Genomic DNA, 16,769 nt, shown 5'->3' with positions numbered 1-16,769 from the left:
TGGACATTTAGGTTGATTCCATGTCTTTGCTATTGTGAATAGTGCTGCAATGAACATTTATGTTTATGTCTATGGTAGAATGAATTCTATCCTTCTGGCTATATACCCAGTATTGGGATTGCGGGGTCAAATTGTAGTTTTGCTTTTAGCTCTTCAAGGAATCACCATACTGCTTTCTACAATGGTTGAACTAATTTACACTTCCCCAAACAGTGTATAACTGTTACCTTTTCCCTGCAACCTTGCCAGCATCTGTTATTTTTTGACTTTTTAATAACAGCTATTCTGACTGCTGTGAGATAGCATCTCATTGAGGTTTTGATTTGCAATTCTCTAATGATCAATGATGTTGGGCTTTTTCTCATATGCTTCTTGACCGCATGTATGTCTTCTTTAGAAAACGGTCCGGAACCTTAATTCTTCACTCCATTATATTTTAAATGAAAAATAAGATTTCTGTGTGTGTATTCATGTGTTTTTAAAATGTTTTTCCTTTTTAATTAAAAATATTATTGTGTTTATTTATATTTTAAACTTTTATTATGTATTTAAAGTATACAACATGATGTTTTGGTATATCCAGTGAAATTGTTACTACAGTCAAGAAAATTAGCATAGCCATCATCTCACATAGTTACTCTGTGTGTGTGTGTTTGGGGGAGGGGTGAGGGAGAACGTGATAAGAGCACTAAAATCAATTATCAGCAAGTTTCCACTATATGATACAATATTACTAACTATAGTTTTATCCTGTACATTTTCTGCCTAGGTTAATTCATCCTACATAACTATAGCTCTGTCTCATTTGACCTCATTTCCGCATTCCTCCCACCCTGCCTGTAACCACTGTTTCACTCTCTGGTTCTATGTTTTTAACTTGTAAAAGAAAATTTCCATACATAAGTGAGATTATTCAGGATTTCTCTTTCTGTGTCTGGCTTATGTTACAAGCATACTGTCCTCTAATTTCACCTAGGTTGTTGCAAAAGGCAGGTTTTTCTTTCTTATAAAGTCTGAATTATATCCCTTGTGTGTGTGTATGTGTTTCACAATTTTTAAAATCCATTTTTCCATCAGCAGATACTTAGGTTCTGTTTATGTGTTGGCTACTGTAAATACTACTGCAATGAATATGCAATCACAGTTACCTCTATGAAATGGTGATTTTATTTTCTTTGGACATATTTCCAGAAGAGGGATTGCTGGGTGGCAAGGTCGTTCTATTTTCACTTTTTTGAGGAACTTTGATACTATTTTCCATATGACTTCAGCAATCTTCATTCCCACTAGTAGTGCACAAGGGATCTCTTATATCCACACCCTTGCCAACACCTGCTATCTCTTGTCTTTTAGAGAATAGCAGTCCTAACAGATGTGAGGAGACACCTCATTGAGATTTGATTTGTATTTGCCTGATAATTAGTGATGTTGAGCACACTTTCATATACTTGTTGGCCATTTTAATGTTTTCTTTGGAAATATGTCTATCAGATTATTTGCCCGTGTTTTAATTCGGTTTTTTATCTTTTACTATTGATTTGTGTGAGTTCTTCATATATTTTAAATACAAACCCCTTATCAGACATGTCATTCACAAATATTTTCTTCCAAGACGTAGGCTGCCTTTTTATTTTGTAGATTATTTCCTTTGTTGTGCAAAAGCTTGTTAATGTGATGTAGTCCCATTTGTTTATTTTGCTTCTTTGTCTTTGCTTTTGGTGTCATATCCAAAATACTTATTGCCAAGGCCAATGATAAATAACTCTTCCTCTATTTTTTTTTCTAGGAGTTTTACAGTTTCAGGTCTGAAATTTAGGTCTTTAATTCATTTTGGGTTGATTTTTGTTTGTGGTGTGAAGTAAGGTTCTAACTTAAATTTTTGCTTGGGGGTTTCCAGTTATCCTAATACCATCTATTGAAAAGAATATCTTTTTCTCAATGTGACTTCTTGGTTGCCTTGTTAAAAACTTGTTATCTGTATATGTCTGGGTTTATTTCTGGGCTTCCAATTCTATTCCATTGACCTATATTTCTGTTTTCTTGCCAGTATCATACTGTTTTGATTACTATTGCTTTGTAATATAACTTGAAATCAGAAGTGTGATGATTCTAACTTTGTTATTTTTGTTTAATATTGCTTTATATATTCAGGGTCTTCTCTGGTTACATACAAATTTTAGAATTTTTTTTTTCATACTTCTTTAAAAAATGTCATTGTCATTGGAATTTTGCAAGCAAAATTCCAATTCTGTAATCTACATATTATATATATAATGTAATCTGTATATTGCTTGGAATAGTATGAATAGTTTAACAATATTTATCCTTCAAATCAATGGACACAGATATCTTTTTATTTATTTGAAAGAAAATATGGTATATATATGTGTGTGTGTGTATCTACATATACACACACAAACACACACACACACAATGGAACACTTACTATTCAACCTTAAAAAGGAAGGATATTCTGCCATCTGTGGCAGCTTGGATACACCCAGGGAATATTTTATGTTAGGAGAAATAAGCTATGCAAAGATTATGATCTCACTTATATGTGGAATCTAAAAATATTAAACTGATAGAAGTAGAGGGTAGAATGTTGGTTACCAGAGACTGGGTGTTGGGAGGCAGAAAGGGAATGGGATGTTGCTAGTCAAAGGGTATAAAGTTTCAGTTAGAAATGAGAAATAAATTTTGAAGCCTTTCATTAATGTTTTATAGGTGGTTTTTTCTTTTCTTTTTTTTTTTTTTTTTTTTGAGATGGAGTTTTGCTCTTCTTGCCCAAGCAGAAGTGCAATGGCGTGATCTCGGCTCACTGCAACCTCCGTCTCACAGGTTCAAGCAATTCTCCTGTCTCAGCCTCCCGAGTAGCTGGGTTTACAGGCACACACCACCATGACCGAATAATTTTTTGTATTTTTAGTAGAAACGGGGTTTCAACATGTTAGCCAGGCTGGTCTCGAACTCCACACCTCAGGTGATCTGCCTGCCTTGGCCTCGCAAAGTGCTGGGATTACAGGCGTGAGCCACTGTGCCAGGCCAATGTTTTGTAGTTTTCAGCATGAAGATTATATTTCTTTGGTTAAATGTATTCCTAAATATTTTATCTTCAATCCTATTGTAAATGAAGTTGTTTTTATTTCCTTTTTGGATATATTGGTATAAAGAAAAGCAACTGATTTTTGTATGTTGATTTTGTATCCTGCAAACTTACTTAATGCATTTGTTAGTTCTAAATTGTTTTTGGAAATTTTTAGAGCTTTCTCCATATGCAGTACATCAACTGCATAAAGAAAGAATTTTACTTCTTACTTTCTCATTTAGATGTCAGTACTATGTTGAATAGAAGTAATGAAAGTGAACATTTTTGCCTTGTACTAGATCTTAGAGGAAAAGTTTTCCATTTCTTCCCATTGATTACAAAGTTAGCTGTGGTTGTTAGCAAAAGAAAGTGTTGACCTTTGTCAAATGTTTTGAATTTTTTTTTCTTTAAGGCAGAGTCTCCCGCTGTCACCCAGGCTGGAGTGCAGTGGCACAATCTAGGGCCACTGCAACCTCCACCTCCCAGGTTCAAGCGATTCTATTGCCTCAGCCTCCTGAGTAGCTGGGATTATAGGCACTAGCTACCACACACAGCTAATTTTTGTATTTTTAGTAGAGTCGGGGTTTCACTGTGTTGGCCAGAGTGCTCTCCAATTCCTGACCTCAAGTGACCCGCTTGCCTCGGCCTCCCAAAGTTTTGGGATTACAGGCGAAAGCCACTGTGCCCAGCCCCAAAACATTTTATTTCTAATGGAAATTTAGTGTTGGGAGAAATGTACTTGGAGCTCAATACTAAAGAAATTATTACTATTTTTTCTAAAGCCATCTGTAACAATTTCACCAGGGTCAGGTATTTGGAAGCAGTCGCAAGACTTCTCAGGGGGTACTAATGATAGGCTTGAATCAAGGTAATAAATATAGTATAGCGGGAGAAAGAAAGCACAAGCAGTCATCAGGAGCTGAGAGACGTCCACAGCTCCACAGGATTCTTTCTCAGTTACACAGGACACACTTTGTCTCTGGAGTATAAACCACTAAGATGAGTGTGAGAAATTTTGGTTTCTCAAGAGCTTGAGCAGGATTTTTTAGTGAGGTCTTTTCTGCCCCATTGATTATGCAGCCAAGTGGGACTTTGTAACCGGTTAAATCAGGTCTCTGTCATCAATTTACAAGTTATAACTCTAAACAAGCTGGCCCTGGGGACTGTCTTAGGGTTTTAAACTTGAGGTTATAAATAGCATTTTATAAATTATTTGATAGCTCATTCTATCCTTATCCTAGACAAAATTCAATACCATGGCATTCTTGATGATAAGTACAGAACCTTCCCTATTAAGCTCTAGGATAATTCTATCTTACACACCATCAAAATGTACTTTCTATTACATGTGCTTTTATTTAAACTGGAGCAAATGTAATCAATGGCTTAATGCTCTATTTGTCTAAGGCATTAATAAGGAAAGTGATATCCTGAGAGACACTAATGAGGAAGATATTCCATTTAGTCAGCAACCTGAAACTTCAAATGGCATCTAGAACTTAATGAAAAGAGATACGTGTTTAGCTAAAAGATCTCCATGACTTAATTCAGTAAATAGTCACATCAGAAGTATTAATTCCTGATATTATGGGCGATAGAAATTCACCTCTGCAATTAGCTTTTATGGCTTCCTTAACACTATATGAAAATACACTCATGCCTTGCTTAAACATGGGGATACAGTCTGAGAAATGTATCATTTGATGATTTCATCGTTGTGTGAACATCGCAAAGTGTACTTACACATAGATGTTATAGCCTACTACACAGCTATGCCATCTGGCATAGCCTAGTGATCCTAGGCTACAGACCTGTACAGCATGTTACTGTGCTGAATATGTTAGGCAATTGTAACATAATGGTAAGTGTTAAAGTATCTAAATGTATCAAAACATAGATAAGATACAGTTAAAATATAGTGTGAAAGATGAAAATGGTACACCTGTGTAGGACACTTACCATGAATGGAGCTTACAGGACTACAAGTTGCTCTGGAGTCTGAGTGGTGAGTGAATGTGATGGCCTAGGACATTACTCTATACTACTGGAGACTTTATAAACATTGTACACTTAGGCTACACTCAATTTATTTGAAATAAAAATTAACTTTAACTTACTGTGACATTTTACTTTATAAACTTTTAATTTTTTAAACTTTTTGACTCTTTAATAATAATATCTGGCTTAAAACATAAACATAGTGTCCAGCTGTACCAAAATATTTTCTTTCTTTATATTCTATTTAATAACATTTTTCTATTTTTCCTTTTTTACTTTTCTTAATTTTTAAACTTTTTTGTTAAAAACAGAGACAATAACACATTAGCCTAGGCCTACACATGGTCAAAATTATCAACATCACTGTCTTTTACCTCCTCATCTTAACCTACTGGAAAGTCTTCAGAGGCAATAACATGCATGAAGCTGTCATCTCATGATAATAATGCCTTCTTCTGGAATGCCTCCGGAAAGACCTTCCTGATGCTGTTTTACAGTTAACTCTTTTTTATATATCTATAAGGAGTACACGCTAATGATAAAAGTATAAATAGTAAATACATAAACCAGTAACTTAGTCTTGTATTATTATCATCAAGTATTATGTACTGTACATAATAATATGTGCTATACTTTTATATGACTGGCAGTGAAGTAGGTTTGTTTACACCAGCATCACCACAAACACAAGTAACATGTTGCACTGTAACGTTAAGATGGCTACATCACTAGGTGATAGGAATTTTTCAGCTCCATTATAATCTTATGGGACCAAGTTCATATGTGGAATCTGCCATTGACCAAAACGTGTTACGAAGCACATGACCAAGTGTAATATTATAAAAGCGCATTCATCATAGAACAGAAAGAAGAAGGTAAAGGAATTAGATGAGCATATTGTAAACTAAAACTAAAAATAAAATCTTAACCCCCTCCCCACTGACTGACTGGACCCCCTCTTGGTCATAAACATCCTTAAAATTGAGTTCCTGCCTATGACAGGACAGGGGGTCCTTCCTTTTCCAGTTTAGACACAAAAACTGTCAAGCATTCATGTTCAAACAGAGGCCGTAACAATGACAGAAGACACTCTTTGTGGCAGTAAGATGCCAAATTATAAAGAGGACCTGAGACCATGTCCAGGCAAGGGTTAATTCACACACTCCTAGACATAAATAAACTGTTTCAGCTGCTAGGAGGCTTTTCCTTTTCTGTAGTAGCTAAATAAGCACTGACCTCTAGATAAGCAATATTAAAACAATTACAACTTATGCAACTCACAGGTGTTAACTGAACCCCTGTTCCACCAGCCATAACTACAGCTTTGACTGCACAAGAGACTGATTTCAGTAGCTTTCTCCTGATAAGAAGACCTCCAACCACGGACTGCTTCTGGCCAGTTTACAGAGGCTGCACACCTATGTGCCTTCATGTCCTGAAAATACCTTCTTGGGCCTATTTGTAATGTATTTGAATGTTAAATCTCCACCCCAAGGTTAACGTGGGTCATACTTTACATGCATGTTTGTTCAATATGCATGTGTCAGGACCACCTTCATGAATATTCATAGCCTCTCCTATAACCTGTTGAATATGTATGTTGAACAAACTTTTTCAGTATAAAACTCTTACCCCAACCACTCCTCCTTTGAAGTGCCTGTCTCTGGTCTTTGCTGGAGGCTATGCTTCCCAACCTGCAGGATGGCTGGCTGCCTTGCAGACTGTAACCCTTTATGGAAAATAAAGCCCCCTCTTCTTTCCCAATTTATTTTTTAAGTTAACAATACACATCTAAAGCAGCTCAAATCCTGGATTATTTCATTGAAATCTGAATGGGGATGTTTGTGACAAAGCCTGCATTTTACATTTTTAATTCAATAATGGATGCAGCATATGTGAATTGACATAATTGCAAAACAGATAGTTGGAGGTAAGAAAAGAGTTTTCAAAGGTACAGCTAATGCTTCCTTCTTTGCATGGTGGAGAGAATGAGACAGTTCTAAATTCTGTTTATCTGAATTTGATATTTAGATAGGTAGAAGAATGAATTTTTAGGCAATTATTATTATTATTATTATTTTGAGACAGAGTCTTGCTCTGTTGCCCAGGTTGGAGTGCAGTGGTGCAATCTCAGGTCACTGCAACCTCTGCCTCCCAGGTTCAAGGAATTCTCCCGCCTCAGCCTCCCAAGTAGCTGTGATTACAGGCGCCCACCACCATGCTCTGCTAATTTTTGTATTTTTAGTAAAGATGGGGTTTCACCTTGTTGGCCAGTCTGGTCTCGAACTCCTGACCTCAGGTGATCTGCCTGCCTCAGCCTCCCAAAGTGCTGGGATTCAGGTGTGAGCCACCGAGCCCAGCCTCTTTTTTTGTTGTTGTTTAATGGTGATACATTACCATTCCAGCTAATTCACTCTAAGCTTTTTCATGGATAGCCCATTTGTTTGAGGGGTGTTTTTACATATAACGGCATAGATTACGTTATGATTTGTATGTTTGAATCCTACTTTATCAGAGGATTATCTTTATTGAATGATTTCTTAATAGACCTTATTTTTTTTTAACAGTTCTTTTAGGTTCACAGCAAATTGCACAGAAAGTACAGAGAGTTCCCATGTATCTCCTCCCACATATGCACTGCCTTCTCCATTATTAATATCCCACAACAGAGTAACACATTTGTTACAACTGGTGAACCTACATTGACATATTATTATCACCCAAACTTTTATGTTAGAGTTCACTCTTAGTGTGCATAACATGTTTCTACCATATTTCCACCATTATAGTATCATCATTACCCCAATTTGAATACGTCATTGAACCAAATTGAATAGTCTGACTCCCTAAAAATCCTCCATGTTCCACCTCTTTATCCCTCTCCTCCTTCCAGCCCCTAGCAACCAATGATCCTTTTTTTTTTTTAGATGGAATCTCGCTTTGTCGCCCAGGCTCACTGCAAGCTCCCTCTCCCGGGTTCCCGCCATTCTCCTGCCTCAGCCTCCTGAGTAGCTGGGACTACAGGCGCCTGCCACCACACCCAGCTAATTTTTTGTATTTTTAGTAGAGAAGGGGTTTCACGTGTTAGCCAGAATGGTCTCGATCTCCTGACCTCATGATCCGCCCGCCTTGGCCTCCCAAAGTGCTGGGATTACAGGCGTGAGCCACCACGCCTGGCCCAGTGATCCTTTTACCGTCTTCCTAGTTTTGCCTTTTCCAGAATATCTTATAGTTCTAATCATACAGTATGTAGCATTTTCAAATTGCCTTCCAATATAGTTTAGATACCTGTCCCCTCCAAATCTCATGTTAAAATGTGATCCCTAATGTCAAAGGTGGGGCCTGGTGGGAGGTGTTTGGGTCATGGGGTCAGATCCCTGAAGAATGGCTTGCTGCCCTCCCCGAAGTAATGAGTTCATGTGAGATCTCGTTATTTAAGAGCCTGGCATCTCTCTTGTCCTCATTTCTTGCTCCATCTCTTGCCATCCAACACACTTACTCCCTTTTCACCTCTCACCACAAGTAAAAGCTTCCAAAGTCCTGAGCAGAGGCAGATGCTGGTGCCATGCTTCTTGTACAGTCTGCAGAACTGCTAGTCAAATAAACTTTTCTTCATAAATTACCCAGTATCAGGTAATCCTTTTAGCCATGCAGAATGGACTAATACACTTTCTTTCACTTGGTAATATACATTTAAGTTTAATCCATCTTTTCATGGCTTGATAGCTCATTTGTTTTTAATGCTGAATAATATTCCGTTGTTTGGATGTACCATAATTTATTTATCTATTCACCTACTGAAGGGCATTTAGTTGCTAACATGTTTTGGCAATTATGAATAAAGCCTTTATAAATCTTTGTGTGTTTTTTTGCGTGTGGACGTAAGTTTTCAACTTATTTAGGTAAATAGGAAGAAATGCAATTGCTGGATGATATGATAAGAAGATACCTAGCTCTATAGGAAACTGCCAAACTTTCTTCCAAAGTGGCTGTGCCTATTTAAATTTCCAGTAGCAATGAATGAGAATGCGTGGTTCTCCACATCCCTGCCAACATTTTGTGTTGTCAGTGTTCTGAATATTGGCCATTGTAATAGGTGTGTGATGATATCTCATGTTGTTTTAATTTGCATTTCCCTAGTAACATACAATGTGGAGCATCATATCATATGCTTATTTGTCATCTGTATATCTTCTTTGATGAGGTGTCTGTTCAGATCTTTTTGCCCATTTTTAAATGAGTTGTTAGTTTTCTTAGTATTGAGTTTTAAGAGTTCTTTGTCTATTTTTGATAACAGTTTTTTATCAGATATCTTTTGCAAATATTTTCTGTGGAAATTACATTTTGTTTCACAAAGTTTATTTTTCCATGCCTATCTTATTTTTGACCTCCATGGTTTCTTTTTAGCTTCAAAAAAGCAATTTTTACATAAAAGGACACATTAAAACATACTTTTGTGAGGATGTATTATATATCAACTGTTTGACATATTTGCTTTAGTTTCCATGACATTCTTACATAAAATACATTTGTAAAATTACAAGTTTCCTAAATTAATATTCTAATACATTATTTGGCAATAAATGATATTGTAGGCATCTTTTGACTGTCATGACAGATTTCACGTATACACCTACTGAAGATCATTTTGGCAAATTTAGTTACATTTTTTAGGATAAAACTATAATTTCATTACTCTACTACTTCTTGAAAGCTATATTTAAACATAGTAATGTAAACGTGGTTTATTTAGTGACAAATTTAGAGACTGAATATTATCAAAAGTATATGCCTACTCTGGCATACAAAATATGCCCAATGTTAAAACTCAATGACATCATATTCTTTAGAATCTATAGTGCTCTTATCTCTAATAGTGTTTTGAAAATTGGTATCCTTGTTAGCTTGAATCCTCCAAGAAGCTGACATCAAGACAGGATTAATAAATTCTATGTTGAAATAGAATGATTTATAATTTCAATAATATTTAGCATATGGACTTTTAACAATAATGCACTGACAAGAATCTTATTTGAATTTCTTTTGAAGTTGAGGCTTATATTCTTAGAGAACTTTTGTTTCTTCCAGTGACCAAAAAGCATTTATGTCATCCTCTCATAGTTATTTTACCCATGCAGATGCCAACTCCTACAGAAGAAAATCATACTTTACTTCATAACAAACAGCAGGACTTCCTTCTCAGAATGCAGAAAATTTGTCATAAATACAAACCTGCCAAAGCATCATCAATAAAAAATCTATGCTGACTCTAATGCATCTCTTATGGATCAATGACCACTGTAGTAACATCCCTTCCTGTTATTTATATTCTAGTCTAGTGTAATCCTTTAAATGATTTGGTCTTTCTTGCTCTGTATCCAATTCCCACTTCCTCATCTCCTGGCTAAATCTTTCTTTATGTCTTTCAGAATTCCTACTGGAAATATTTTTTGAAGTTCTCTTTCTTCTCCATCTCTGAATTTTATTTCCATCTCTGAAATGCAAATGATGACCATCTTACACCACTTACCTGTACTGCTTTAAGTGCATCCTTTCACATCATATGTACATCAACGTCTTGATCCCAAAGTCATTCTAATTATATTATTTATCCATCCCCCACTCCACTGAGACTCTAGGTTATAAAATTATATTTGTCTTCTTATTTCTGATACATAGTTTCTTGCCATCTCTCATTATTTAAAAACTTCAGTCACTCAGTTGTAATCTTTTCTCTCTAACACAGTTTTTCTGTCATCATCCTAGATGTCTTCAAATTCCACACTGATGATGCACCCAATTTAACCTCTCATATCCTTGGACACTTTATTTTCAATGAAGTTATCCTTTCTTAAATCTTTCCACCTGTCAATATTCAAAACTTATCACCCACAGAATCAGTAAGTCAAACATCCCATTTTCTGAACAAAATCTCTAACACTTCAAATTTTCTTACTCGGAAACCCACCTGTCATTTTCTCCTTTATCTCCTGCTGTAACAGTCTCTTCCTACCTACCTTAAATTTCACTTTTTGTCAGTGTAATCACTTCTTTCAAAATTATTTTAAATCCTTTGCTCTTTGTCCTCAGAATTCCTGGAAAATTCAAAATTCATTTTCTTTTTGACTTAAAACAAATGATTGGAATTTCTTAGAGAAAACTAACACAAAAATGTAAATTAACACCATTTAAATTAATTATGTTTTTAAATTTTCTATATTTTATGTTTTTGACATCTAAAAGAACTTGCTATCAGTTGATAGACTGCCACTCCCAGGTCTAGCCAATTCCAGATGGCAAAAGGGTTGGCTAGGTAGGAGCATGTCTTTTATATGCAAACCAACCAATCCCAATCTTGTAGTCCAAACCACCTCCTTAACTCTCACACCCCAAGACTTTCCCTGCCCTAAATCACTGGCGGATTAGTTTCCAGTGGAGATCACCCCTACTGCCCATGGAAATTATTCAAGCCAGCCAATTCTTAACAGTTTACTTTGCCATGCTTTACCTTTCCCGCAGAAACCCCAATAAAGGATTTGGTGTAGGCTTCTCCCTTGCTCCTGCTTCTGGCTGACCAAACCTGGAATTTCCTTTGTGGTCCTATATGGCCTGGCATGTCTCCTTCTCTTGGGAAATGTGAGTAATAAAATCTTCTTTCAATGGCATTGACCTTTTTATTTTGGCACTAGGTTGCCTCCACCAATTAAAATCCCCCAGATATACTTTTAACACATCATTATAAATATTTAGTCAATATGCACAAAATATTAGTGTGACAAGCAAATCCTTCTATTTCCATATGGAAATTCTAGGTAACTAAAATGTTATTGTCTAAGAAAAAGCCACACTTGAACTTTAGTTGCATTTATCCCCGTGTATTTATATGTTGTAAAAATGTAAAGAAATTCACTGAAGAGTTCAAACATATCCTCAGTTCTACAAGGTAATCTGTCATTAGCTCACTCCCCCATCTCCCTGGAGCTATCAGACCAACCGTACTGTGTTCACTTTCTAACCATACACTGTGAAGGTGACCTTGTAATGCGCTTCATTTAGAAAATAAAAGTAATCCAGTTAAAACTTCTGCAATTTTGGCTTCAAATCAACACATTTACCTTAATCTCTACTTATCATTATTATTTCCTCCAATAAAAATGAAAAAAAAATGCCCGTCTCTAGTCTCGTATGTTACTTTTCTTCTGAATCTTAGCCCCTTGTTTTCTTTCAATAAGGTTAAACCTTTATCTATCTCTTGCTATCCTGTATCTTTAATCCTCTTACTTTGTACTGGATAACTTCCATCAGCATTTAAACATTCTCTGATATCTCTAGACTTAAGAATTATAGGCTTCCCTGTATATGACATACCCTTGCAGCTACTAAACTTGAAATCATTAATAACTTCCAATTTCCTAAAAGTATTGGACACTTTTTGGTCTTCATTAATTCTGTATTTTTATTAGACCTAATTGATTTGGTCATTTTCTCCTTATTGAAAGCTGAGATTTAAATTGTTTTTCTCTCATCATTATGGCTGCTGCCTAATTAGTCTCTCTTTCTGGCCTAATGTTAAAATATTGAAAGTCCCCCAGATCTGAATTTAGGTTTTTTTCTCTGTTCATTGTTGTATTCTAACTCTAGACACATTCATCACACACAACATTATCCCTAGGTTGTCAATTACCACATACGTCAGTCTTTCCAGGATTATAACTGAACTACAATTTTCTCTGAGATCCAATTCCTTATGTCTCTCTGTATAATCTCAGGAACAAAAAGTTCAATAAGTGAAAAAATCCTCTCCCCTAATCTACCACACATCACCAAGCTTTATCTTTCCTCACTGAAATTACTCTTCAGAACAGTTATTGAGGCAACAGAAGTTGAATCATACTTATTTTTCCTCTCTTTCTTTGTCAACTTTTTACATGAAATAAATTAACTTTTTCAAAATTTTCGTTTACTGAAGCATAACTTACATACTAAGATGTACATAGTTTAATTGTAAGGTTTGAATTTGATAAATTTATACTCCAATATAATTACCAATCCGATCAAGGCATACAATATTTCATCACGCCAAAAAGCTTCTTCATGCTCCTTTCCAATCAATTTGCTCTGACCAGAGATCAATTGCTGCCATTATATCCCAAGCCTACATCTATGTATCTAAGCATCTACCTATCTAGCTATTTAGCTATCTATGTATCTATATAATTTTAATTTTTTAAAGTAATTACTTTTCTAAGTAGGCTTCTCTTCTCTTCTGTAGCTCTTCTGAAATAATATTTATACCTGATGTCTGTGGAGTATCTTGAAACATATTCTGAAACTATCTTGAAATATATTCTGAAACTATCTTGCATACTGAGCTAAATACCCTCATGGAGACCTGCTTCTTCATCTTCCATGTCAATTTCTTGGTGACTTACTGTCATAGCTCTCTGCAAATCTTTCCTTCTTCATTGAGTGCTCTTGATTCATCAATTCTTACTAAGATTCACTCAATATCTGATTTTTTAGCTGTGCTAATTCTTCTCTGATAAGTTTAAGTCAGTGCTTCTGTTGGACCCTGATTGTCTGGAGGAGTTCATCAACTTCACAATCTGTAAGATCGCCCTGAACAACAAATATAGAATAGCTCCCAAGTGCAAGGTATTTGTTTCATGCTAATTCTGGACTTGTAAAGAGAAAATCCAGGACACTAAATCACGTCATTATCATCATCAACTATTTCTCTTGGATTTTGACATATCCAATATATTTTTTCAGTCTTTCATTTTATAGGAGCTTCAGATAGAAAGAATATATTTTATTAATTTCTAACTGTAAACCAGTGTTCTTTATAATTGCCTATTTATAATGGCCTTTCATTTATAAGATCAAGCCTGAGCCTCTGATCAAGACAGCGTCTGATACTCTAGATTTGAATAGGATTAGTTCAAATTCTAAACTTTCAAGGCATTGCTTATAACTCTCTACGGAAGTTTCTAACACAGGAAGAAATCTTAACTTCTGAAGAAATTTCAGTTGTTCAGCTTTCGCTAAAGTCTGTATGCTACCACAGAGGTCTTTTTACTAGGCCTCAATTCTGGTTGCTAGAAATCCTAGTGCAGCGTCAGGCTTAATTGATTCTAGGACTCAATGACATTATGTAAGACTTAGGTTCTTTCTTTCTTTTTGCTTGCTCATTCTTTGTGTGGCTTCATCCTCAGCGGATTGCAGGATGGCTGCAGCTGTTTCAAGCATTACATCCAGATACGCATAGGAAAAAGAAAGACCATCACTATCTGCACTCTCTCTAAGAAACAATTTATCTTTTTTTTTTTACACGGAAGTATTGCAATAATCTACTAACAAGTTTCTAACTGTATAATCCTGTCTTCTCTTCCAAATCAATAACTGTCACTGGAATAGCTAGAATTACATTGTTAACATGTAGATATATCTCTTTTTTTCTTTTTTTCTTTTTCTTTTTCTTTTTTTTTTTTTTTTTTTTTTGAGACGGAGTCTCCCTCTGTCGCCCAGGCTGGAGGGCAGTGGCGCGATCTCGGCTCACTGCAAGATCCTCCTCCCGGGTTCACGCCAATCTCCTGCCTCAGCCTCCCGAGTAGCCTGGACTACAGGCGCCCGCTACCACGCCCGGCTCATTTTTTGTATTTTTAGTAGAGACAGGGTTTCACCGTGTTAGCCAGGATGGTCTCGATCTCCTGACCTCGTGATCTGCCCGCCTCGGCCTTCCAAAGTGCTGGGATTACAGGCGTGAGCCACCGCGCCCGGCACATGTAGATATTTCAATCTTATTCAAATGCTTGTAGTGTAAATATCTTCCTGTTATGTGTTCCAAATTTTTAAAAAGTGTAAAGATAACTTTACAACATGCCTCCTGTCAATCACCCAGAGTCCTCAGAAACACCCTTTCCCCTTGATCACTGTTTCCAGGAGCCTAGTTTGTTTGCTTGGAAGCAAACTCCTTCCTGTTTTATTGTCTTCTTACATGCTAAGCTTAATTGCTGCAATATTCTTTTCTCCTTCCCCATAATATTTTTCTTCTAACTAGCAACTTTTTTCCATCAATTTTCAGGAAATTACCCCAGGTTAAGTCAGTCGTCTATATTTCATGCTCTCACTGTACACTCTGCTTTTGCTTTGAGGAACTTATTACAACTATAAATGGATAATTATTTTTATAATTTCTATCCTTTAAAAGTACCTCTGTTTCCTCACAGATTCTAAGCTTCTTGAGGGTAAATGCTATTTGTCTCTCTTGTTCTGCTGTGTTCTCAGAAAATCTGAGAACATACCTCACTGAAAATAGAAGTAACAACAGTCAACGGTAATTTATATTTTATATAGAAATAAAACATAACTTCTGTTTTTCCCATGTCCATTAATATTTTCTGTGTACCACACATCTCATACTCTTTCTACTTTTGCAACAGATTATTGGGATCCTATTTCACATGCAAATAAGTGAGCAACTGAGAAAACTAATGTACTTTCCTGCTTTTGCTAGCAAGATTGTTTTTATATTTCTCATTATTTTATCATTTGGATTAAAATTGTATTTCTTAAAACATTGAACACATATATTTTGTAATTTTCTCTTGATGCATGTATCATTTTTGTGCGAAAAAACACATATGATGAAACTTGAATCAATTGGGGATGAGATTCTTTCTGGTAAAATAATGGAATACCAGAGTTAAGGAGAACAAGTATTAGCAAAACAGCCATTGGATTGATGGTACATTGGGGCTTTGTGCAGATTATGAAAAAAAAAAAAGTCCAGTTGTAGGGTATGGGAATAATACAAGTATAATTAGAATGAAGATCAGACCAATAGATAGTGAAATGGCCACGGAGGGAGAAGAATAGTTTTAGAAATGAATTTTAGGGATGAAATAATTCTAGATGATAATAGGATGATAGGGTCTATTATTCTATCATAGATATGTAGACTGGAAGGAAATGAAGTTAATTGGCCAAATGGCCTATACATACACACATGCACATCTGTATACACAACATGTGTGTAACTTAAAGTGTATGTGTGTGTGTGCATGTGTGTATACAATATGAGATAGACTTAGAACATAAAAAAATGCCAGTTCCTTAAAAAAATATTGGTGATGGACCAACCGAACTATCTGGGGGCATTTGGAATTCTGTTCTACAGTTAGGGTAATATTCTCTTCCACAACTACCAAAGTGTTCATTGTATGTAAAAAGAACAACACTGGAAATCTCTCTTTTACCATTTAAAAATAAGAAAAAAATGTATACTTCAGGTTTTTTTGGGGATTTGTAGTTGAGAATACTACTTTTTTGTTAGAATACTCTTCCTCTACAGTGACATATTTCTCCAGAATGCATCAAGTGATTGAATTTGTATGTTTGAGTTGAATGGTCTTACCCCACTAATTGTCACTGTTCTGACCTTACTGTGTTACGATGTGAGCTGTCACCATAGCAGAAAATAAAATTGGAAAAATATATTGCACTTCAGAGGTCAGAGTAGAAAGGTTTGGGCTAGCAGAAAGTGAAGTTTACTAGGATCAGATTAAATAATATAAAAGGAGTATGGTAATAAGCATCTTTGTGATAATGAATCATCTGGGAAATCTGGGATTCTGGTTATAAAAAAGTAAACAGTAATGTGAAGAATCAGCCTTTTAAATCT

At 35.7% G+C, this 16,769-nt stretch overlaps 1 pseudogene, besides 1 other annotated feature; it reads right to left on the bottom strand.

The window, feature by feature from the left end:
- Positions 1,422 to 1,923: an enhancer, noted in NCBI's record as "NANOG hESC enhancer chr14:48526825-48527326 (GRCh37/hg19 assembly coordinates)". NCBI's record gives its function as "activates a minimal SCP1, AML or CMV promoter by ChIP-STARR-seq in primed H9 embryonic stem cells {active_cell/tissue: H9 hESC(primed)}" and the evidence as "EXISTENCE:reporter gene assay evidence [ECO:0000049][PMID:30033119]".
- On the bottom strand, positions 13,326 to 14,064 carry LOC100418768 (ataxin 3 pseudogene; annotated as a pseudogene).

This window comes from Homo sapiens, chromosome 14 (assembly GCF_000001405.40).
Source record: "Homo sapiens chromosome 14, GRCh38.p14 Primary Assembly".
Lineage (NCBI taxonomy): Eukaryota > Metazoa > Chordata > Mammalia > Primates > Hominidae > Homo > Homo sapiens.
This window is presented reverse-complemented; position numbering and strand designations above follow the sequence as displayed.